The sequence below is a fragment of the Homo sapiens genome, chromosome X (genome assembly GCF_000001405.40).
Source record: "Homo sapiens chromosome X, GRCh38.p14 Primary Assembly".
Lineage (NCBI taxonomy): Eukaryota > Metazoa > Chordata > Mammalia > Primates > Hominidae > Homo > Homo sapiens.
In genome coordinates, this window is record NC_000023.11 from 36,361,859 (window position 1) to 36,388,444 (window position 26,586).

General features: G+C 34.7%; 1 protein-coding gene, 1 long non-coding RNA gene and 1 pseudogene across 2 annotated transcripts in view; 1 reads left to right on the top strand and 2 right to left on the bottom strand.

Annotated features, from left to right (window-relative positions):
* CFAP47 (cilia and flagella associated protein 47) overlaps positions 1-23,459 on the top strand; it is a 465,584-nt gene extending 442,125 nt beyond the window's left edge. The window contains exons 62-64 of the mRNA NM_001304548.2: positions 5,108-5,269; positions 17,492-17,660; positions 22,939-23,459. Coding sequence (NP_001291477.1) covers positions 5,108-5,269; positions 17,492-17,660; positions 22,939-23,148 — 541 coding nt within the window. The 3' untranslated portion in view covers positions 23,149-23,459. The remainder of the gene's footprint in view (positions 1-5,107; positions 5,270-17,491; positions 17,661-22,938) is intronic.
* The window catches only part of LOC101928627 (uncharacterized), a 74,667-nt gene continuing 51,848 nt past the window's right edge, over positions 3,768-26,586 (bottom strand). Inside the window, exons 6-8 of the long non-coding RNA NR_110412.1 lie at positions 17,524-17,626; positions 6,063-6,239; positions 3,768-3,944 (exon numbers count right to left, since the gene is read on the bottom strand). This is a non-coding gene — a long non-coding RNA (uncharacterized LOC101928627). The remainder of the gene's footprint in view (positions 3,945-6,062; positions 6,240-17,523; positions 17,627-26,586) is intronic.
* RPS15AP40 (ribosomal protein S15a pseudogene 40) lies at positions 12,897-13,355 on the bottom strand (annotated as a pseudogene).

Genomic DNA, 26,586 nt, shown 5'->3' on the forward strand with positions numbered 1-26,586 from the left:
AAATGATGCAAATGCCTAAGCTATATTTTACATTGCAACTGCTTTCATTACATTTTACTACTCAATACATAACATTACACATTCCTTAGTAAGATATAAGTGAATCTGTGCGAAGGGTGGCCTTTAGATGTCTGTCCTCTAGGAAACTTCATTCAGTGTCATTATATTTGCTTTCTGGACACCTGTTACTCAGCATCTGCAAACACTATATGATATTTCACTATGAAATAGTGCTTTATTGTGTCTAAATGCAGAGACACTGATAAGCACCATGATATACACAAAGTACAGCCTGGCAATGAAAAAACAATTGAAAATATTATTTGTGTTTTTAATGATTTCTTTTTTCTTCTCTCAACTTTTGTTTTAGATACAGGAAGTATATTTGTAGGTTTTTTACATGGGTATGTTGCACTCAGGCAGTGGGCATAGTACCTAGTAGGTAGCTTTTTAACCTATCCCCTTTCCAACTAGTAGTTTGCAGCGTCTGTTTTTCCCATGTTTATGTCCACAGGTGCTCAATGTTTAGCTCTTACTTGTAAGTGAGAACATGCAGTATTTGGTTTCCCATTCCTGCATTAATTTGCTTAGGGTTATGGCTTCCAGCCCCATCCATGGAAGGAGGACATGGATGCATGCAAAGGACATGGTTTCATTCTTTTTCATGGCTGCATATTATTCCATAGTGTGTACATGTCATATTTTCTTTATTCAATCCACCATTGATGGCCACCTAGGTTGATTCCATGTCTTTGCTATTGTGAATAATGTGACAATGAACATAACGAGTCCACGTGGCTTTTTGATATAATGATCTATTTTTCTTTGGGTATATACCCAATAATGGGATTGCTGAGTCAATTTCTAAAGTTCAACCTTGTATTCGATGTAGTCATACATCTAAAGTGGCTATGAATATGTAGTTTGATAACGAAAAGACACCAGGGTCATCTTCAGGAAGCAGCAATAAAATCAAGCTACAAGAAGAAAGTATACCATACATATTGACATTTTCTATGTTTGTATTTTCTTTCATTTTTCACAGTTTTCTATGTTTGTTAATTTTTTTCACATTTTGCTTCATATGTATTAATATAATGACATGGAAATTACAGCAACACTAGAAAGGGAACAATGTTATTATTTGTGAAAATGGGCAGAGCCAATGTGAATTTATACTCATGAAAATTTTTTGGATTTAGAACATCTTGGTGAATATTTGAGAGACTAATTTAGGGCAAAATTTTTTGATGATTGATAAATTTCTGTGAGTGTTGTGTGATGTTCTGATATAGCAATTCTATTTTGTGTATATATGCATATATTCATTTACTATGATTTCTTCTTTTGTATATACAGTCATGCATCACTTAACAACAAAGATATGTTCTGAGAAATGCATCCTTAGGTGATTCCATCATTGTAGAGTGCATTTACACAAACCTAGATGGTATAGCCTACTGCTCACCTAGGCTATATGGTATAGCCTATTGCTTCTGGGCTACAAACCTGCACAGGATGTTACTATACTGAATAATGAAGGCAACTGTAACACATTGGTAAACATTTGTGTACCTAAACACAGAAAAGGTACAGTAAACATACAGTATTATAATCATATGGAACAACCGTTGTATGTACAGTTCATCATTGACCAAAATGTCAATGCAAGAGAAACAATTAAACAAGAAAAATCAAAATTACACCAATAGCATTGAGCTATGAAAAACAACAGGAAAATAATTATACCATGCTTTACCTAGATTAATGAATTAGTACTAAATTCAATTCTGTTCTTTTTTGTAGGCAAGGTTAAAAAGAACATTTATGTGTTTTGATAAAAAGAAAATATATCATGTTTCACAACAGTGAATACTAGGTCATTCTGACATTCATCTTTTCACAGAATACAGTGTTGTGCATGCTAAAAATAATAATAAATATGCTAAATGGTGGTATTACAAAAGAAATGCAGGAAAATTATTTCTATTGGTCTTTTTCCAATAAAAATCAAGGGTCCAATACAAAAGCGTATGAGAACAATGGTTAAGAGTGTAATGAATCAGTCTGAAGATCCTAATTTAACAGGTCGTAACTTTTTTAAAATAATGAAATAACAGATATCATTTGTCTTATGGTATCTTCAGAAATGCTAATTACCTTAGCTTGACATTTTCCTAGAACTTTTTACCTGCTCAAGAGCTGAACAGAATGAGAAACAAAGTTCTATTTCAGAGTTTGTGGGTGGCAACTTAAAATAAGAAATATCACACATATGCATTGTTATGAATCTACAGTATTGATCATAAAATGGCTCACCATGTCATCCATGAAATTCTGTGGTCTTCTCCTGAAGGGTCCCACATTTTGACTCAGCAACTTCTCATTAACTCAAAGAAGTCGCTCACAGAATAGAATTATTCAGCATTGTTCATTTGAACCTGTACATTAATTTATCAAAAATCATTTAACATCTACAAAAGAGACAAAATCCCTGCACTTTAGGAGTGTATCATCTAGTGAAAGTGATAGATAACAGAAATAAATGAATAAGCAAGAAAGTAAATTTCAGATTGTCCTAATAAATAAATAAATAAATAAATAAATAAATAAATAAATAAAGGGAGATAGAGAACTTTAAAGGATGCACATCAGATAAAGTGGATAGTTAGGCTTCCATGAAATGATGTCTAAGCCAAGACCTTACAGACATAAAAAAGTTGGAAAGAGCATTTGAGCCAGAGAAAATAATAAATGCAGAAGTCGTAAGACAGGAAGTGTTTAGCACAAACAATGAATAGTAAGAAAGCCAATCTTTCTCTAATGGAGCGAGTAAAGGAGGAAATAAGTTTGGAGAATTTTACTGGGATTTGTTCACATAGGATCATGACAATATGCATTGGCCTTTTATATTAGAAACAATAGAAAACTATTGAAGAATAAATATTTGGAGAACTAGTTTAGGAAAACGTGTGTACATGATTCATCAAATTTTGTAAGTGTTAAGTGATACCTGGTGTAACTTAACAGTTATATTTTGTGCATATATATATATATATATATATATATATATATATATATATATACACACACACACATATTCATTTACTTCTGCCATTCCTTGTTCCAAATTAATTTGGAATGGTTTACTGGAAGACACAGAGTTAAATAAGAAAAACCAAAAGAAAACAGTGGCTCTAAATTGTGGAAATCTTCTTGTAAGATGGTAACAGCAGAAGTGGAGAAACCGGTTCTTGAAACAATGGTCTTGAAATAGTGGGAATAGAGGAATATAGTTTCATTTACAAAGACAGGAGAATGTGAAAGAGGTATAGGTTTAAAATGTATATTTGAATGTGTTAAGTTTAAGATTATGTATTAATCATCATTGACTAAATTATGCTGCATAGTATTCCATTGTTTCTATGCAACATACTTCATTTTAGCAGCACCCTATTGAAAGAACATTTTAAAATTTTACTCCCTTTTTTTTGACAGTATAAACAATGCAGTAATGAATACCCTTATATACATCACTTCTTGAAATCTTAGAGGCATTTCTCCAGAGGAAAGTACCAATAGTGGAACTCCTAATTTACTGAGTGAAGCTTTCTTTTCTGTTTTAAAACCTTTTATTTTAGGTTCAGGGGTACATGGGCAGGTTTGTTATATAGGTAAACTCGTGTCATGGGGGTTTGTTGTACAGATTATTTCTTCACCCATGTATGAAGACTAGTACCCAATAGTTATTTTTTCTTCTCCTCTTTCTCCTTCCAACCTCCATCCTCAGGTAGGCCCCAGTGTCTATTGGTCCCGTCTCTGTGTCCGTGTGTTCTCATCATTCATTTCCCGCTTATAAGTGAGAACATGTGGTATTTGGTTTTCTGGTTTTCTGTTCCTATGTTGTTTGCTAAGGATAATGGCCTCCAGCTGCATCCATGTGTCTGAAAAAGACATGATTTCTTTTTTTAAATGAATGCATAGTATTTCACAGTGTATATGCACCACATTTTCTTTATCCAGTCTTCCTTTGATAGGCATTTAAGCTGATTCCATGTCTTTGCTACTGTGAATAGTGCTGCAATGAACACATGAGTACATGTGTCTTTATGATAGAATGATTTATATTCCTTTTGGTTTATACCAAGTAATGGGATTGCTGGGTCCAGTGGTAGCTCTGTTTTTAGCTCTTTGAGAAATTGCCACACTGCTTTACACAAATTTGTTAAGATACTATCCAGTTGCTCACAAAATGGTTGAGTAATTTTATAGTCCCACCTAAGAAGAGTAAGAGTTCCCAGAAATGTTCTTTCTGTCACTTTTAAGTAAGCGGTATGAGATTCCTTTTCTAATCCTGACTTATGATATTGAAACCACACTGTTACATGTTTGAATCATTTCTACCCTAAACAAGCAAACAGATAACCATTCATCAACTCTGGCTACTGCCCTATCTCTCCACTCTTTGTCATAGTCAAATGCTTTGAAAGTCTTAAGTCTATCTCTACTAACTTTCTTCCTTAATTCAGCTGCCACTCAATTTTATCTTATTCTGCAAGGTGTATGTGGTCTTTACCAATTGCAATTTCATTTTTTAAAAACTGCCATTTAAGTCAATTGTATGGGCTTTGCATGTTTTCACAGAAAATGTATTTTTTCTTTGTGAAACGAGTTGAAAATACTTTCGCATAATGTTTCATTTTTGAAAAAAATCCCCGAATGGAATACCTATTAGTATAAAACATGGGTCTATTTTGCCAAATCCACCCTTACCTTCTTATGCACTATGATAATCTATGCTGGTTACAGAAAATTTGCAGAGTTCATTCTGCATATGTTGTTGGTTCTTAGAAAATAACTAGAGGGTAGATAAGACACCCTAAAAATAATTACTTCAAAGGGAGAATGAAAATATAATCTATGACTCAAAAATTATTTATGAAATGTAATTAAAAGTCATTTACATTATTTTTAAGAATTAAATGTCCTAGTGTTTTCACTGAAACCACAGAGTTTACTTACATTTTTACCTTAGTTTAGTTTGCTATATTTATTCTCTTTACTTGTTTTCACGTAGTGTCATTTAAAATCTCCTTTTATATTCAAGGTCTCACATAACACTGAAAATAGAGTGCGTAACAGAAGGGATCTGGAAGTTTCCCATAATGTTGATCGCTACTGAACCTGATACGGATGCTGTCATTGACATTGAAGGAGTTGGTTTATTTAAGGAATCTGTTTTTGAACTTAGGCTGAAAAGTCAGACAAGGTAATATATTAAACAAAAGTATGTAGCTGTTTTAGTGAATATGCTGAACTTTGGAATGAAATTTAAGATGGAAAATTCTATAGTTCATCTTTTGCTGGTTAAGCCAGCGCAACATTGGTTCTCTGACTCAAAGCTTCATATACTACATAAATTTTTACTTAACAATTGGAAAATAGGGTATACAAAGTGAAGACCAGAATGAAAAACAAAAGTAAATAATTAAAAATTGAAATATAGGATACTATTAATATTTCCATTTGTTTTCAAAGGATGTTTCAGTGTTTTTCTGCAAATGTCAATTGTGTTGGTACGTCAGATGGTTTAACTAAGCAGAAATAATTGGGTAAACCCACGTTGATTCCATGTTATGTTTAATTTTGTTTCTATCATAGCTGTCTGTTACATTTGTGCTAACATAGGCAGTCTGACAATACTTTTACCTAAAATCTCACATGTAAAATATACTTTTACAGCTTTTTGAGGTACAGCATACATAACGTAAAATTCATTTATTGTAAATGTACATTTTAATAGTTTTTAATTATAGGATTTGTAGTCATAACCACATTCCAGATATAGAACTTTTCCATTTCCCTCCATATTTCCCTCAAACCCTTTTGCAGTCAACTCCCATACTCATTACCAGTCTCAGTCAACCACTGATTTGCTTTGTCTCTATAGTTTTGCCCTTTCTGATATTTCAAATAAATGAAATTACATAATACGTAGTCTTTTGCATGTGACTTTTTACACTATACTTATCTGAAGTTCAGTAGTTTTCATGAATAAGCACCTGTTAGCTTTGCATATATTTGATCCATTTCTCGAGGGCTGAAATGGTTGTTTGTAACAGTTGTCCAGCTTTATGGTCAAAATGAGTGGTGAACAGTTAAATGTATAATCACTTGTGCCAGGTGATGCAAGGCTTTATAGATAGGATAACCACAAAATTCACTGTCCAAACTTGAACCTTTTGAGAATGAAAGAGGATAATTAATAATTAGGCTTGGCAACAAGGTAAACTGGGACAGATCTGAGCAAACCAGCACCTAACAGTTACTGTTCTTATAGGCTGTGGCAAGATGTTTGCTGTTTATCCAAAAAAGACTAAAAAGTCACTAAATGAGCAGAGTGATATATTTGAAAAAGAATATTTAGCTGAAATGTGTAGAAAACAAATGCAAAAATGGTAAGAGTGAATGGAGGTAGATTAGTTAGTTGGCTAATGCTGTTGTCTGAAGGTTGCTTGAGGTTTTTGCAGGGCGAGTGGAGAGGGAAAGTAGACAGATTGGAGAGGCTTTAAGGAGGTAAAGTCAGTTAAATTTAGTGGTAGTTTTGGGGATCAGAATGTTCCACTTTGCTAGAGAGTTTTAAATGTTAAGTCAGAGAAGTACCTGTAATGTAGAAGAAACTAACATCAGGTGGATATTGGACTATATGACCTGGAATTTCTCTTACAGTTTGAAAATATGATACTCTTGTGAAAAAAATTGGTTTCATAGTCAAACAGAATGAGAAACAATTTTTTGCTCAACCACTAAATACCTGTGGGACTTTTAGCTATATATTTTTGTTCCTCCAAGCTTCCATTTCCTCATTTATAAAGTGGAGATAAAATATAACCCATAATGTTGCCATGAGAACAAATAATGCAATGTATATAAATTACTCACCACAATGCCAAGAACTTTTAAATATTCAATAAATGGTATTGTTATTATGTATTTTTTCATATCTTTGATCAACCTGATCAGTTATCCAAAACCTAATATTGGGAGAGTAACTGTTTTTGATATTAAGTCTCCTATGTTTTAAAACCCAGAGATTGAGAGCCAGGCAACTCTAGTCAGCCATCTTGCTGATGTGGTACTACAATCAGATTAGTCCAGGTTTATTTTTAATTAGTATTACTAAGATTCTGTTAGATGTTTGGTTTAAAATTAGAAGTAGTCTGTTTCTTCTATTCTGATATATTTCTGCAAGCATTAAGTTCAAGGGCAGTTTCTACAGAAATATACAGTAGACTTAGTTCATTAGATTGCAATAAACATTTTTCTAGTGGATAAATGCAGTTGTCAGAAATTCTATGATATACAATTATGTATGAAAAACACATTCAAAATATAAAAAAAAACAAACTCTGACTCTTCTGTATTGAACCCTTATGGCCCTGTTATATTGAATGAACTACTTAGAATTAGGGATAAATCTGAAAATCTCAATAGGGTATTTTCTAAAGTATAGATTTTGATTTTCTTCTATTTTTGTTCTAAGGGCATAATTATATATACCCTTTATAATATTGATGCTGGAGAGTGATTTTTTTTAAAGATTCAATAGCAAATGGAATTATCCCCCATAAGTGCTTCTAATGTGCAGATTTGAGATATATTTTAATAACATAGGGTCACTCCTGTGGTTAAAATCACATGTTGGCCATGTCTACAGTCATCTGAAGGTTTTACACAGCTGGATGATCAAAATAACTTACTTTTATAACTGGAGATGTTTACTCTGGATGTTGACTGATACTGCCTCCACATAGTCACTCTTTAATGGATGCCCTGGATAGCTGAATTTGTACATTGTGATTGGTTTTCCATAGAGAGCATATTCCGAGAGAAGCACGTAGAAGATGCATGGCATTTTCTGACCTACACACACAAGTTCAACAACAATCACTCTAGTCACATTTTATTGGTTACAAAGGGGTCACTATATTGGCCTGGATTTAAGAAAGGGAACATAGATCCCACCTTTCTATGGGAAAATTGTTAAAGAATGTGCAGGCTTGCCACAGTGGAGTATGCTAACTTGAATGTTTTTAGCTTCTTCTAAGTCAAAAAATTTTGTCCAGATTCCTCCTGGGTATTGTCACCAGCTGCAAGTCTTTGGGTGGCAAGGATCAGATCATGATGGGTAACATAACCAAGTTACAGAAGAAGGTGAATTTACTTTCTCTTCATGGTTTATTTTCTTTTTTAAAATTATACTTTAAGTTCTAGGGTACATGTGCACAACGTGCAGGTTTGTTACATAGATATACATGTGCCATGTTGGTTTGCTGCACCCATCAACTCATCATTTACATTAGGTATTTCTCCTAACACTATCCCTCCCCCAGCCCCCCACCCCCCAGCAGGCCCCAGTGTGTGATGTTCCCCTCCCTGTGTCCATGTGTTCTCATTGTTCACCTCCCACTTATGAGTGAGAACATGAGATGTTTGGTTTTCTGTCCTTGTATTTTGCTAAGAATGATGGTTTCTAGCTTCATCCATGTCCCTGCAAAGGACATGAACTCATCCTTTTTTATGGCTGTGCAGTATTCCATGGTTTATATGTGCCACATTTTCTTTATCCAGTCTATTATTGATGGACACTTGGGTTGGTTCCAAGTCTTCGCATGGGTTTATTTTCTACAGCAAATGGAAACTACCTGCTTCCTTACATTAAGTGTGTTTTAAACTTTTTTTAGAGGATTCAGTGATGTAAATAAGCTACTGAATATTTCTAGCTTATTTACCAGCCCTTGGGAGGCTACACCTAGGAAGGTATTAGAAATTTCAAGTTATCTTGAAGATCTAGGGAACTGGAGGGGCGTATATGAAAAAAAATAGGATAGGAAAACAGGCAGACCTAATTATATTCAGGATTTGACTGGTTCCTCATGAACCCAGTAATATTTCCTTTTTCTTTAAGGAATCAAGAGTAAAATAAGTTCTGAAAAGGAACGACCCCCTGTCCTAGTGACTATACATTTTTCTTGTGTGCTGGGCATACAAGGAGAGGAAAGAAGGACGAAGATGCATGACAAACCCCATGGTGGTAGCTACTCTGTTTCCTAAATTAAATATGTAAAGCGTTAGTGTATCCAGGGGTAATTTTAAACATAATAATACAAAGTATTCTGAAGAATCAGTATAAAAACATAACAGAGTTCAAGGTATCAAAATAGGTTACCTATTCCTAAAATATTTTATGTGCATATAAGTGATTAGCAATAAGTAAAACTTTTGAGAAATATAAAATCCTTATTTTTCTGAATATCCTACTTTTTACTAACGTCTGCCCTTTGTGATAACATTTAAAAATTGTTTTTATATAAATGAGCATTATGAATTACACAAAAAACTATAATGTAAATCTTAGGAAATGAGAAATCCACCATCTCTTGGCCACTATCACTAAGTCCAACTCAATTCTGGTAGAGTATAGGAATTAGAAACAAATGGTTTCCTAGTAATATAAGCTAATCATATTTTGAAATAGTCATTTGGGATCATGCTACATAGAAATTATCTTGTTATAAAATGAAAATCTTCTGTAGATGAGCATTTTCATTAAGAAAACTAATTGTAGGGCTGGGTGTGTGTATATATATGTGTATATATATGTGTGTATATATATGTGTATACATATGTGTATATATATGTGTATATATATGTGTGTATATATATGTGTATACATGTGTGTATATATGTGTATATATGTGTAATATATGTGTATATACACACATATGTGTATATATGTGTGTATATACACACATGTGTATATATGTGTGTATATACACACATGTGTATATATGTGTGTATATACACACATGTGTGTATATATGTGTGTATATACACACATGTGTGTATATACACACATGTGTATATATGTGTGTATATACACACATGTATATATGTGTGCATATACACACATGTGTGTATATGTGTGTATATATGTGTGCATATACACACATGTGTATATATGTGTGCATATACACACATGTGTATATATGTGTGTATATATGTGTATATACACACATGTGTATATGTGTGTGTATATATACACACATGTGTATATGTGTGTGTATATATGTATGTGTATATATGTGTGTATCTATGTGTATATGTATATATGTGTGTGTGTATATATATATATAAACACACAGCTAAATACATATAATTTAAGAAGTCTTTAGTGAATCATGCTGCCCACATTGTTTAAACCCTCTCTAATTCATTAACACTTTTATACCACAGCTGAGTCTCCATTTATTTCTAACAATAACAATAAAGCTACTTTCTTTAAAAAAAATGATGGCATATAAAGAAAACTTGATATGAATTTATACTCATTAAAAATTTTGTGGATTTAGAACATCTTGGTGAATATTTGGGAAACTAACTTAGGGCAACATTTTTTGATGATTGATAAATTTCTGCGAGTGTTGTGTGATATTCTGACGTAGTATAGTAATTCTATTTTGTGCATATATGCATATATTCATTTACTATGATTCCTTCTTTTGTATGTACAGTCATGCATCACTTAAAGACAAAGATATGTTCTGAGAAATGCATCCTTGGGTGATTCCATCATTTTGCACACATCATAGAGTGCATTTACACAAACCTAGATGGTATAGCATACTGCACACCTAGGCTGTGTGGCATTGCCTATTGCTTCTAGGCTACAAACCAGCACAGGATGTTACTATACTGAATAATGAAGGCACCTGCAACACAATGGTAAATATTTGTATACCTAAACACAGAAAAGGCACAGTAAACCTACAGTATTAAAATCATATGGAACAACCATTGTATGTACAGTTCATCATTGACCAAAATATAGATGATAAAGGTCAAATTTTATTTATTTCAGTATAGATATTGAGGTTTCCCAACATCATTTATTGAAGACACTAACCTTTTAAAATTGTGTGTTCTTGATGCCCTTGTCAAAAATTACTTGACAGCATATGCTTAGGTTTATTTCTTGGCTTTCTATTCTGTTCTATTGACCTATGTGTCTGCTTTTATGACAGTAATATGCTATTTTAATTATTGTAGGTTTGTAATGTATTTTGATATCAGGTAGTGGGATGCTACCAGCTTTTCTCTTTTTGCTCAGAATTGCTCTGGCTAGTTGGAGTGTTTACAGATTACTATTTATTTAAAATATAACACTAGAATTTTTATAGATAGCATTAAATTGGTATATCACATTGGGTAGTATGGACATTTTAACAATGTTAATTATTCAATCTCATGAAAACAAGGTATTTTCCCATTTGTGTTTTTGTCAATATTTTAAATCAAATTTTACAGTTTTCAGTGTATAAATATTTTATTTCCTTGGCTAAATTCATTTCTAAGAATTTTATTCTTTTTAATGCTATATAAATTGGATTACTTTCTTGATTTCTTCTTGGGAGAGTTTGTTGTTAGAATATATAAATGCTACTGTGTTTTGTATGTTGATTTTTCATCCATCAATGTCAGTGTTACTGAGATTATGTATTAGTTCTAACAGGTTTTTGCATGTGTGCGTGTGTGTTTGTGTGTGTGTGTGTGTGTAATCTTTACAGTTTTCTACATATAGGAACACACCCTCTGCAGATAGGGATAGATGATAGTATTTCTTCCTTTCTGATTTGGGTGCCTTTTATTTCTTTTACTTGCTTGATTGCTCTTGCTGATATTTCTAGTATGTTACATAGACATGCAAAGAGGGGGCATTTTCTCCTTGTACCAGACCTTAGAGGAAAAGCTTTCAGTTTTTCTCCATTGATTATGATGTTAGCAGTAGGCTTTTCATAAATGACCTTTATCATGGAGAGGAAATTTCCTTCTAAACTTAATTTGTTGAGAGTTTATCATGAAATGATGTTAAACTTTACCAAATGCTTATTCAGCATCCGTTGGGATGATCATGTAGCTTTTTTCTTTTAATTTGGCATATCACGTTGATTGATTTGCATATGCTAAACAAAACATGCATCTCAAGGATAAGTCCCACTTGATTATGGTGAAGAGCCTTTTAATATATTGGCAGAAATGGTTTACTAATACTGTATTGATGATTTTTGCTTTCATGTTCATCAGATATATTGGTCTGTAGTTTTTTTTTCTCTTGTTGTCTTTGTATGGCTTTGGTATCAGGGTGATCCTGGCCTCATAAAATGAGATTTTATCTTTTGGAAGAGTTTAATAAGGACTGGTATTAAATCTTCTTTGAATATTTAGTAGAATTTAGCCATGAAGCTATCTGGTACTGAACTTTTCTATGTTGGGAAGCTTTTAATTAATGCTACGATCTTTTTTAAAATTGGCCCCTTCAAGCATTCTATTCCTTATTAGTTCAATCTTGGTAGGTTATATATTTCTAGAAATATATACATTTCCTTCTTGGTTTTCCAATTTGCTTACAGATAATTGTTCATAATAGTCATTATGTTCCTTTATATTTCTGAGAAATCAATTGAAATGTCTCCCCCTTTATTTCTTATTTGATTTATTGGAGTATTCTCTCTTGTTATCTTAATCTCACTCATGGTTTGTCAATTTAAAATTTATTTTTAAAATACTCTTTGTTTTGTCAAATTTCTATGACTTTTCTATTCTCTATTTTATTTATTTCTGCTCTTATTTTTTATTATTTTCTCCCTTCTGCTAACTTTGGGTTTAGTTTGTCCTTCTTCTAGTTCATATAATTTAAGTGGCTTATTTTGAGATCTGCCTTTTTTAATGTAGATATTTATCATTATAAGATTTCCTCTTAATACTACTTTTGCTGCATCCCATTAAGTTTTGTTTTGTTGTGTTTTCATTTCCATTTGTCTCAATATATTTTTTTTTCCATGAGGCATTTTATTTGTAAATATGTATTACATCTCTAGAAAAAGAATCCCAGGATTTTCACTCCTGTGTGTTTTCGTCTTGCTTCTTCATGGTCCATGATGCCAGCTGAGGTTGTCAGTATAATGAAACCAAACTGGCACAATGGAATCAGATTATTCTGCCGTTTTTCTAGACCTTTGAGTTGCACATCAAATCTGGGCTGATCACTCCACACTTGTTTAGCCTGCCTGTGAGGTTCACAACAATTTTTCCAGCTCTGTGATCATCAGTGATTTCAAATTTGCCAGTGTAACCACACTTCATCATCACACTGAGAAGCTGGATGATGACTTTGGAGCATGACCTAATAAGAACCTGGCGTTTGCCTCTCTTTTCTGCATGTTGATACTTTTGAGAGCATCAGCCAGGACATTCATGAGCACCATTGTGGCAATGCGGAAAGATGGCGGAAAGAGAATGGGAGGGGAGAGCGCACGCAGTTATGGGAACAAGATATTTTCTAATACGCCTTTTGATTTCCTATTTGACCTATTGGTTGTTCAGGTGCGTGTTAATTTCCACGTATTTGTGAATTTTCCTAAATTTCTCCTGTTATAGATTCTCAGTTTCATACCGCTGTGGTCAGTAAGAATACTTGATATAATTTCAATGTTCTAAAATTTGCTGACTTGTTTTGTTGCTTAACATATGATCCACCCTGAAAAATATTATGTGGCCCTTGAGAAGAGTATATTCTACTGCTGTTGGATAGAATGTTCTGCATATAGCTGTTATGTACATTTATCTAAAGTGTAGTTCAAATCCAATGTTTGTTTACTGATATCTAATCTGGATGATCTATCCATTGTTGAAAGTGCAGTATTTTGTTTCTTTGGTGGTGTAATATTTCCCTGATTCTTCGTGATCTTTCTAGCCTTGCTAAGAAGTTTGCTCATTTAAAGCAGTTATCTTCGCCAGACTTTATGAATTGGCTTCAGTAAATAAAAACTTTCACCTTTAGGGTAACAGGGCACATTGGGGTGTGTTGTGGCACTGGGTCTAGTTCTGTAGTGTTCTAAGTGTGGTGACATGCAGTAGCTTCAGGCTGTGAGAGATTAATATTGCTTTGGCTCAGGCAGCTAGAGTCTGTAACATCAGCAACTGTATGATCCATGGTTGCAAGAGATATGGGATGCCCATGGTGGCTGTGAAGACCCTTGAGATCCTTAGTCTTGACTCTGGGTCAAGAAGCAAGAGGCCAGAGCAGGCAGCAATGAGGCTAGAGCCAGCAGTGTACACACACTCAGCTGCAGGAGCCAACTATGGACACTTCTGTGGAGGCAGAGGCCAGCTGTGGGCTTGTTCGTGGTGTCTCTCTTAGTCTTCACAGACTGGCTTTCTACTGGGAAGATTTTCACCAATCATCCTGGCTAGAGATTCTGGAGGCCTTGCAAACCTTTTATGTGGATGTGTCTTTTCTGGACTTGTTCATGTATATTTCTATTTAGAGAGATGTATTGGTTTATTTCTTTTTTCAGAAAGTTATAGTCTCTTGTTCTTCTGGTGTCTGTCTGCTGTACCATTAGTCCTCTGAAGCAGCAGCACACCACTCAGCCTTTTTTTGTTCTTAGTAGTCCTCAGAAATCTAGAGCATGCTAAGTCCCATCAGCATTCTGAGACAGGCAAATCAGAAGCCACCCCCTTGAGCAGCCTCACTCTCCTGTAAAGTCAGAACATTGGATGTCTGGTCCAGCCTTCTTTTTCTTTCCCTACAGAGAAGCCAGAAGCTGAGCATTTCTTCCCAATTATGTGGCACTGTGCCAGCAGGAGGGATAATGGCAAGAGGGTGCCAATAATTTTCCTACTGGCTTCAATATAGTTCGTTTTATTATTATTATTGTTATACTTTAAGTTCTAGGGTACATGTGCACAACGTGCAGGTTTGTTACATATGTATACATGTGCCATGCTGGTGTGCTGCACCCATTAACTCATCATTTAACATTAGGTATATCTCCTAATGCTATCCCTCCCCCCTCCCCCCACCCCATGACAGGCTGCGGTGTGTGATGTTCCCCTTCCTGTGTCCATGTGTTCTCATTGTTCAATTCCCACCTATGAGTGAGAACATGCGGTGTCTGGTTTTCTGTCCTTCCAATAGTTTGCTGAGAATGATGGTTTCTAGCTTCATCCGTGTCCCTACAAAGGACATGAACTCATCCTTTTTATGGCTGCATAGTATTCCATGGTGTATATGTGCCACATTTTCTTAATCCAGTCTATCATTGATGGACATTTGGGTTGGCTCCAAGTCTTTGCTATTGTGAATAATGCCGCAATAAACATAAGTGTGCATGTGTCCTTATAGCAGCATGATTTATAATCCTTTGGGTATATATCCAGTAATGGGATGGCTGGGTCAAATGGCATTTCTAGTTCTAGATCCTTGAGGAATCACCACACTGTCTTCCACAATGGTTGAACTAGTTTACACTCCCACCAACAGTGTAAAAGTGTTCCTATTTCTCCACATCCTCTCCAGCACCTGTTTTTTCCTGACTTTTTGATAATCGCCATTCTAACTGGTGTGAGATGGTATCTCATTATGGTTTTGATTTGCATTTGTCTGATGGCCAGTGATGATGAGCATTTTTTCATGTGTCTGTTGGCTGCATAAATGTCTTCTTTTGAGAAGTGTCTGTTTGTATCCTTCACCCACCTTTTGATGGGGTTATTTGATTTTTTCTTGTAAATTTGTTTAAGTTCTTTGTAGATTCTGGATATTAGCCCTTTGTCAGATGGGTAGATTGCAAAATGTATGCTCTACTGTGCTACAAAAGCCTCTTAACTGGTTTCTGGATTTCTCACAAAAGGGACTGTTATTGAATTTGTGTCTTCATTTGTGGAAGGAAGGTCTGGGAGTTCCTGTTCTGCCATTTTATTGATGTAATTCCCTTAGGTGCCCTGTCTTATTCATTCTCATTTATTGTATCATTCATCATAGCCTAGCACTGGTAATAAAATATTTTAAAATAAGAACAACAGCGATACTGATGACTAAAGTATTATTGGCTAGTCCTTATAATGCACTTTTTGTGTGTCAGGCATTAATCTAATCGCTTTGCAGTGACTATTAACAATTTAACAGATGTCAACACTAAAGTAGGGAAAAGTTAAGTAAATTGCCCGAAGTCATCCATCTAAATAAAGCTATGGTTCCAATCCGCAGTCCATGTTCTCAAACCTTCTGTTATGATACTCAATACATATTTGCTGAATAGATCAGTGAGTTCCAGCCTGAATCCTTTCTGCATCCTCTCCTATGTCTCACTGTTGAATCTGTTTTTGGATGCTGAACTTGGCCTTTTATGAGTATCACTCCTGTCAATTTGAATTTTAAATTTCTCAAAACTTCCATGCAGTGTTCCGCTCTTCTTCTGTATTCTACCAAGAAATTCTTCAAATTATTTTGCAATCCTTATCTCAAGTATAGTCAACCTTGACATAAAGATAGTCACTTGAATCTTAAATGTCACTCAATTTACTTCAGATCATAACAACCCATTTTCAGGCCCAAGAATGTTTAATGAAATTATAAAGTGCTTTCATTTCACTCAGCAAGTGAAAAGCTAAAGGGAAGATGAGTAAATATCGCCATGGAATAGAAACGGAAACAAAAGGTATTATGATAGCTTTGCTGGTCAGTCATTTTATGTATGGATTAATTTACAAATGCCTAAATTTCCATTAAGGACATTGAATAGTTCCAATTTGTATAGATTCAACATTTTTTTCTTTGTGCATTATTATTATTATTTTGAGATGGAGTTTCGCTCTTGTTGCCCCAGCTGGAGTGCAATGGTGCTATCTCGGCTTACTGCAACCTCTGCCTCCCGGGTTCAAGCGATTCTCCTGTCTCAGCCTCCCTAGTAACTGGGATTACAGGCGTGAGCCACCATGCCCGGCTAATTTTTTGTATTTTTAGTAGAGATGGGGTTTCACCCTGTTGGCCAGGCTGGTCTGGAACTCATGACCTCAGGTGAACCACCCGCCTTGGCCTCCCAAATTGCTGGAATTACAGACGTGAGCCACTGCGCTGTGTCTTACTCTGTCGCCCAGGCTGGAGTGCAATGGCATGATCTCAGCTCACTGCAACCTCTACCTCCCAGGTTCAAGCGATTCTCCTGCCTCAGCCTCCTGAGTAGCTGGGATTACAGGCGCACATCACCGTGCCTGGTTAATTTTTATATTTTTAGTAGAGATGGGGTTTCACCATGTTGGCCAGGCTGGTCTCCAACTCCTGACCTCAGGTGATCCACCTGCCTCGGCCTCCCAAAGTGCTGGGATTATAGGCGTGAGCCACCACGCCCAGCCTCTTTGTGCATTATAAGATGTGATTTTAAGAATCTTTAGAATTTCATTTTGTCACCCTGAGAAGAATGACTTCAGTAATTTTTTTTAAAATGCCTCCTCACTATTATTTGGTAAGCATTCAGCATTAATGTTAACCAGGCCTATTGCAGCAGGATTCAAATTCTACTCATCAAGTTCTCACAAAGAGAATGAAGTAATGACGAAATTTACTAAGTTGAATTTTGTACTTTTGTTCCAGAAATCCTGAGCCGTTCACCGCACACTTCCTACCTGGCAGCGATCTGGAGTTTTTTGTAAAACCTCAGGCTGGAGAACTTCTTCCTTTTAACACAAACGGAACTCTCATCACTGTAGGATTTAAACCTAAAATGTACTGTAGGAAATATAAAGCAACATTAGTAATACAGGTGAGTTCTATAAGGGCAATAGCCAAGGATGTTTGATGCAACTAAAGACACTAAATAAACTAGCAAGAAAAGGTTTTACTACATGGTGACAGATAAAGAATAACAATTTTGCTGTGCAAAAATCAACTTATCTCAACTGCTACATCTTGGTTTACCTTTCTTTTGTCAAAGAGCAGAATTTTAAGTATGGTATATAACAAACAGTTGTCAACACTAGAGGAAAGTTAAAAAAAATACTTTCCTTCCATATTAAGGAACTTTAGAACAGACAAATAATGACTGTAAAGTGATTTGTATAGTTATGTATCACTTTCTGTAACATACCTATTCAAGGACTTCATTAACTTTAAGTTATTTGAGATAGGGATTTTGGAGCCCTTAATTAAGGCAGAGTATTGGCAAGATGTTGAAGTCTAACATAAAAAAAAGGAATAATATATAACATTTATTTTGAATTGAAAAAAAAAATGATGTGAGCCAGTAATTATCTGTTAAAGTCATCATTTTATTAACAGTTAAGGTAAATACAATTTTGAACATTTATTCAGTAACCAAAGTTGCTCTATAAAGTTTCACACATATTTTATAGTAAGAGCTTTCAGGCTAAATACAACTTTCAAACTACTTCTAAAAAGGTATCTATTACCACTGTCTACTTTCAGTAGCATTGGCACACAAGCATGTTGTCATATACACACAACTCCTGGTACAAAAGCGATTTCTAGATTTCTCAGTCAAGCAATAATTAGCCAGTGCCATAGGCAGAAAAAATTTATTGTTTTATTTAACAGAGACAAAATATTGAATATTGTTTGAGGAAGTTATTTCTATTCTTTTCATCTTTCTAAGAGTCCTTACAATCTAGGTAGTAAGAAGAAAAAGCATTTGTTGACATTTTGCACCTACCTTGTTGCCTACATTGATACATAATTTTTTTTTTCCTGAGACGGAGTCTCGCTGTGTTGCCCAGGCTGGAGTGCAGTGGCACGATCTCGGCTCACTGCAGGCTCTGCCTAACGGGTTCACGCCATTCTCCTGCCTCAGCCTCCCGAGTAGCAGGGACTACAGGCACCTGCAACCACGCCCAGCTACTTTTTTGTATTTTTGGTAGAGATGTGGTTTCACCATGTTAGCCAGGATGGTCTCGATCTCCTGACCTCATGATCCACCCGCCTCGGCCTCCCAAAGTCCTGGGATTACAGGCGTGAGCCACCACGCCCAGCCTTGATATATAATTTAAAGTGATCATATTGTACTTGCTTCAGTTTGCTTTAAGGGGATTAAATGGCATCTTTAAAAATATTTTCAACTTAAAATTATATTCATTTTATCTAGCATACAGTAGACAGTTCTGCAATTAACAGAAGGCTTTACCAACAAAACCTGTGCCTGATTTCTCTGTGTTGATTTGACAAATTACTGGCAGTGCAATTAAAGATTTTATGTGAGGGAACAAGTTGTTACATGGGAACAACAGAGAATATGCCATTTTTAGCCTGAAGTGGTACAATTTGATACAGTTTATGTAGGGAAAATTGAGTTTGAAACGTTTAAGAAATCATGATTTTCTTAATTCTACTTTTATTATTGAAAATTCCAAATGTGTGTAGAAATAGAGAGCATAATTAATCACCATGCACTAATAATCCAGTATGAACATTCATCAACTTATGGCCAATTCTGCTTCACCTATATGCCTACTCTCTTCCCCACCTTCTGTATAAAGGGTTACCTTGTGCTAAGCATATCCAACACTGTAATTCTTGCCCTACCCCTGACAACCACTAATCTTGTAATTTCTAGAACATTATATAAATGGAACCATTAAATCATTAAAGCATTATCCAAATAAAAAATATTATTTGCATTATCATCTTTTTTAAATGAATGATTTTAAGCATTAAGTCAATGTTTGCAACTATATTATCTTCATTTTGCCTCACTTGGAAATAAAAATGATGATTTTAAAGAACGTGTTAATTAAATATTAGCCCAAACAAACCTCAATAATCTTGTTCACAAGTTTCATAATTTCCCATTCCATTAAATCAAATTTAAAATTGTTAAAAGCTGTCTTTTCCCACTAGTAAACAAGATATATAGTGCTAGTTTTGAGACTTTGAGACTAAAGTTTACTTATTTAGTCTGTTTTACAAAAAGCGGTGCCACTCAAAGAGAGTACTAAATCTGCTCAACTTTCCCTTGGTGGATATGATAAATCTTAGTTTATGAAAATGTGAGGATTATCAGAATTATCTAACATAAAATATATGATGCTTTATCTTTATACTTATATAAATTATTCATATATATTACACAGTAATATATAATACATAAGATTATATATGATAGTGATTTCATTGATAATATATAAGTAATATAGTATTCATATAAGTAATATTTATATACAGATGTACCTGTTATAACTAGAGACATAACCAGACATTGATAATTTGTGTTTGCCTTTAAAGGAATAGATCATTAGCATGAAATTGTGGGAAATGGCATTGTAAATATCTTGGTTTGTATTTCCTCAGATGCAGATCTTGAAATCAGGATTGAAATCCAAGTACCATATTTGCTATGTGATCTCAATTAACAGATGTAGGGAAGACAGGATGTGAGATAGGGAAGGGGAAGAAATCGATAAAGGGTACTTTATCCAGGCATCTGCCACAGTGAGCAACTGGAAAGGAATCCCGTGGAAGATCTCTGGGAAATGGCGTGGAACACATACCTCAGAGTTTTCACACCTGAGAGGTTAAGAAAGTTTGGTTACATATACAGTAACCGCCACTATTCCAATCATTGATTGAAGAGTGCTCTCAGGGATTGTTCAAACTCTAGCACCAGTAGAGAAGCCTTCTGGGGTTTCTGAACAATCTTGAGCCAAAGAGGTACAAAATTGATCTATGAAGTTTCACACATATTTTATAGTAAGGACTTTTAGGCTAAAGACAACTTTCAATCTTACAATTGAAAGTTGAAGCAGGCAGTGATATGAAAACACCTGAGGGTTGTGGGTGGACACAGACCACATTTGCTAATGGATAAGTATCAATTGTTTCCATTCATAGAACTATGCCTTAAATATATAGCTTTCTTAATGGAAACTCGGGAAATAAAAATATATATACAGCTTTGGTTATTCAGTCCATGAGATCACGGACTTTGGGTGATCTCTTTTCAGAACACAGAGAGACACAACCTGAATGTGGAAGTTTCATCTGTTTATTTTTTTAAATTTCTTTAAATAAATAGTTGAGAAGTATAATTGTCAATTTGGCATTTTTTGTGAAAAATCAATGTGGTAATTCTATGAGATGTTAGTAATATGGAAGTATTAATGTATTCTTATATTATTTTAACTTCTGTTCTGTATTTATATTTTCAAAGGGAGATTGGGGATAGAAGATATAAAGTTATATCTTTAAATTTTTTAAAATATACATGGATAGTTGCTTTTATTTATGGTTAAACTGAAGAAATTTAGCTATATGTAAAACAACTATAATGTTCAATCTTTATTTCATAAAATAAGGCTATTAATGTTGTATAGCTGTTTGGAATGAAGAGTATGAACAACTTCCATACACACACACGAAGCACACACACACAAGCACACACACACTCAGCATCACTTATTGTAAAATTTAAATCTTAATTGAATTTCAATAAATGTAATTGGGACTTTAAAACAATGTTTTTAAAAGTAATTATTTTCAAAGTGTCTTGGCGAAGGTGAAGGTACAAGTCCATACTTTTAGCTCTCATTTGTACCCACTAAGTGCTGAATAAGGATATAGATCCCTTCATATAGCTTACTCATGTATACCCACTAAATGCTGGCCGTGGGCACAGGGCCCTTCAGTAACTCAGGCATTAGTATCAAATGCCAGGCATGGTGTAGGTCTCTGCATTTAGCTCACTCATTTTTACCCATCAAGTGGGTCAATGTACTGGAAAATATATGTATATGCACAATCACTAAAATATAGCTTTGTTTTTCAAATTAAACATCCTTATACGAAGTAAAATTTTTTTTTACCCAGTCGTATTATGCTCCTTGGTTTGGTCCACTTTTGACACACTGATTCTGAATACATAATTATTACAAACACTAGATAAATGGTCCAGATATGATTAGGATGAGGCTATTAAGAATGTATTGTTGTGCAATACATTCTTGTATTGTTGTGCAAGACATTCTTGCACTTAATATTAATTGACAGGTATCACACTACATATAAAGCTCAGAGCGTTGCAATATTCACTTTGTCTGGACCTATTCTGAATGAGTTTTCTGAGTATACGTGGTGTAAATCTTAATGTTAGGAGGACACCAGTATAAACACAGGTGGTTTCAGGAAGTTCTGCACAAGGAATGAGACTTCAGTATAAACATAAACATATATGCAGAAGAAATGAAGAATGTTTAAATAAATCACTGTGTAAATTCTACTCACTTGGATTTAGATGGTGATTGTCAGCAATGATCCTACATCATTTGTGGTATATTAAAATGGTTATACGTACTATGGGCTGGGTGCGGTGGCTCAAGCCTGTAATCTGAGCACTTTGGGAGGCCAAGGAGGGTGGATGATCTGAGGTCAGGATTTTGAGACCAGCCTGGCCAATGTGGAGATACCCCGTCTCTACTAAAAATACAAAAATTAGCCGGGTGTCGTGGCACATGCATGTAAATCCAGCTACTGGGGAGGCTGAGACACAAGAATTGCTTGAACCCGGGAGGTGGAGATTGCAGTGAGCCAAGATCGTGCCACTGCACTCCAGCCTGGGTGACAGAGTGAGACCCTGTCTAAAAAATAAAAAATAAAAATAAATAAATAAATAGTTATACATGCTATGTACTTTCATAATCTTCAAAGCAGCTAAATATATTTTACCAGTCATTTCTATGGTTACACTTAAATTCTCATGAATGTGTTTATCTTGGAAGGTACTATTTCCATTAGTTGGCGTTCATACTGTACAACAGTCTTATGCAAGCCAAATAGATTGCTTTCCCTTATTATCAGATGGATGCGTAGTTTACAGGGAGAATCTCTGAGAGATTTTTTAGTAAATAATTCTTAATTCATAAAGTGAAATACTTTCTTTATTTTCCACATTAATTGTCACTCTAAGTGGTTTCAGTTTTGTACCTTTTCCATACTCTACATGGAGAACAGAAGATGTTAATTATAGTGAACTTTTCCCTACATGTTTTGAAGTCCCTGGATATTTCAAATGAAAATTTCTCCCTCTTTCTATCCAGACAGAAGAAATGTACTGGAAGTATGAGATCAATGGATTAACTCCAACTACCGTGCCACCAAAAAATGCAAAAGCCAAAATTGATGCTACTCACAAGACACATGACAACATGCCAGTCCGTCCACATAATTTTGTCCGTGAAAATACTAAACTCATAAGAACAGGGGTGTCTTCCACCATCAAGGGTGCTCCTTTGGTGAAGAATCAATAAAATTTTTTTCCAAAATATTTCTTGGTCTCAGGTAGAACTTTGATGACTATTATTTCATCTTTTGGAATATTTCTGAGGAATAATGGTTTAATTATAATAGGCCTTCTATATTTCCTTGTCTTTTAAAATTCAATCTGTTCTCTGAATATATTATACTTCATTTGTGAGTTATGAATGTTTTTTGGTTGCGAACATTGGAATTGGTTCACTTTTAAAGTGCAGGTGTATATTTGTGGTAAAACGAAATATAATTTAAATGACAACAGTATTTCCAATAACAGCGTTGCTAATAAAGCTAAATGTCTCATGTAGATATTCCTTGTTAGTCTTTATGTTTTAATTGACAACTAAACATTGTATATATTTATGGTATACAACATATTTTGAAATATGCATACATTGCAGCATGGTTAGCCTGAGCTAATTAATACATGCATTGCCTTACATACTTATTTTTTGTAGTAAGAACACTTAAAATATACTTTCTTAGCCATTTTCAACTATATAATACATTGTTATTAACTATCACCACCATGTTGTACAGCAGATCTCTTGAACTTCTTATTCCTCCTATCTAACTGAAATTTTGTATACTTTGACCAGCATCTCCCTATCATCCTGATTCCCCCTACCCAGCTCCTGGTAATTAGCATTGTACTCTTGTATGAGTTCACTATTTTTAGATTTCACATATAAGTGAGATCATGCAGTATTTGTTTTTCTGTGCCTGGCTTGTTTTACTTAATGTCATATCTTCCAGGTTCATCCATGTTGTCACAAATGGCAGGATTTCCTTCTTTTTAAAGGCTGAACGGTATCTCATTGTGTATATATTTCAAATACTAGTATTGCTATTAAAGCTCAATTTCCCATGTAGATGTTGCTTGTGAGTCTTTAAAACATTAATGATTAAATTAGCACTGAAGACAGAAGGATTGACCATTTCTTATATCTGCTTTATAAAATATATGCTTATATCGTATATCTTCTATTTGGAATATTATGTGCTATTTAAAAAGTAATTAATTAAAAATTCCATGTAGATATGTGTATGTAGTTCATCTACTTCTATATTGCAGCATTTAAATAATATAGGTATATCTCAAAAGGATCCAGGAGAAAGTTCATTTCGATGTGTGTCTGATCCTTTTCAGTAATGTATTAATCAAAGTAAAGGGGAGTATGTTGCTTGGTACTTATCATTAAAGGGAAGCCAGTATGGACCAGCTTTAAGATATTTTGACACAAACTGGCTCTGCCACAAAACATTCATGTATTCTTAAGCAAGTTGCTTACCCTTTTTTACCCTATTTTCTTGTTTCCAAAATGAAGGGACTATACTAGGACAGAGGTTGGCATACTATGGTCCATGGGATGAATGTAGACTGCCATCTATTTTTATATAGCACATTAGCTAGGAACAATTTTTACATTGTTAAATGGTTGAAAAAATAAATAGAAGAATATTGTGTGACACAAGAACATTATATAACATTCAAATTTCACTGCCTATAAATAAAGTTTTACTGGAGTACAGCACAATCACTTCCTTATATATTGTCTGTAATTGCTTTGCACTACAACAGCAAAGTTGAGTAGACAGAAACCACATGGCTGCAAAGCTTAAACTGTTTATTCTCTATCTCTTTACAGAAAATGTTTGGAAACGTATCTTTGGGATTAATTTGTATTGTCTGTAGCAATTGAGAAAGAGGGGAGTGGAAGTCCATATTCCATGGATTTAACATCCATGGATTTGGGAAAAACTCACTCTTTTTTTTTACTGTATCCGGTCTTTCTTCTTCTAACTTGGTGATACCCTGTGAACTTGTGTCTTGAGTCATCTTCCCAGCTCACTCTTGCCAAGATAGGAATACATTCTGCTTGCTCTTATGATCCCTGGTGGTAGTTCCATTTTTATCTAACACTAATGAACCCTTCTATAAATACACAAAATAAATGATTATTATATAGATAATAGATGATGAATTTTCAGTCATGTTGCATTGAAGAGAGCACAGGAAATTTAGGTAAGTTAATTGGTGTTTATGTATATGTTCTAAAAGTGACTTTATCACATGTATAACTAAGAGTCTTGAGAGGATGAATAAACAATCCCTACACTGTTGCTACATGTTCAAAACACTTTCTTTTACTTCTTTGCTCTTTTATAAAGCTAATATGAACAAGTTATTCTTGAATTCCGAAGCAGCCCATTGGAACGAATGATGTGGGACAATTTGGCCAAGTTCAAGTTGATAATTCTGGCAGTAAAGGAAAGAATAATTGAATGAATACCACAATTCCAAAAATATGGAATCTTCCATTGGACTTAGAAGATGATCCTGGATTGCTTTCTTCACAAGAAGAGATTAGAAGTACATGCTATTCAAGGTGATATTTATTCTTTTTATTTAAGCTATCAAGAAGACATAAGGGGCAAGGTCATAGTGTCAAACTCTCCCCTCTCCTGCCCCATCAATTTGTGGACTATTTTACATTCAAAAGGTTTGAAATTAGATCAGAAGATTAAACTTTTCCTTTGGCAGTCTTTTTCATTTTCAATTTCTTGTAAAAGCTTTTTTTCAGAATGTCCATCTTTACACAGTTATGATTATAGCTCTTATGGTAACTTTTAGGGCAAAATCAATAAGACCTCTTAAAATTCTGCAAGAAAGACCAGTTTTGTTTTATTTTATTTTATTCTAATAGTACAAAGGCATTGGGAAAGGATTCAGTGAGAGTAAACTTGCATTGTGTACTTCCAGATATTTCTTAGTCCAGCACTAGTGAATATCAATGGCTCTTAAATGGCATCAAACCAATTCAGAGATGAAAGCAGTTACGTGGGAAACATAGAGTGATTATAAAGAGATCTAACAATGTCCTAATAGCCTCAAAATTCTTCCCTAATTCTTAGAGAACAAAGAACATGCTATGTTATGTCGATATTCATAGTTTCATATTAAAAATGCAGTCTGGAAATAAAAAACTCTAAGATGTTTTACTTGGAGTTTCTTATTTGAGGATCACGAATTGCCCCTTAGTATGTGAATTCTCTGAAGAATGCAAGATAGGCCAGGCGCAGTGGCCCACACCTGTAATCCCAGCACTTTGGGAGACAGAGGTGGGTGGATCACCTAAGGTCAAGAGTTCAAGACCAGCCTGGCCAACATGGCGAAACCCTGTCTCTATTAAAAATACAAAAAACATTAGCTGGGCATGGTGGCAGGAGCCTATAATCCCAGCTACTCAGGAGGCTGAGGCAGGAGAATCCCTCGAACCCGGGAGGCAGAGGTTGTAGTGAGCCGAGATCATGCCACTGTACTCCACTCCAGAGTGGGCAACAGAGAAAGACTCCATCTCAAAAAAAAAAGAAGGGAAGATGAGATTTTTTGGGGGGGAATCTGAAAGTTCCACATAAATCTGACATTGTAC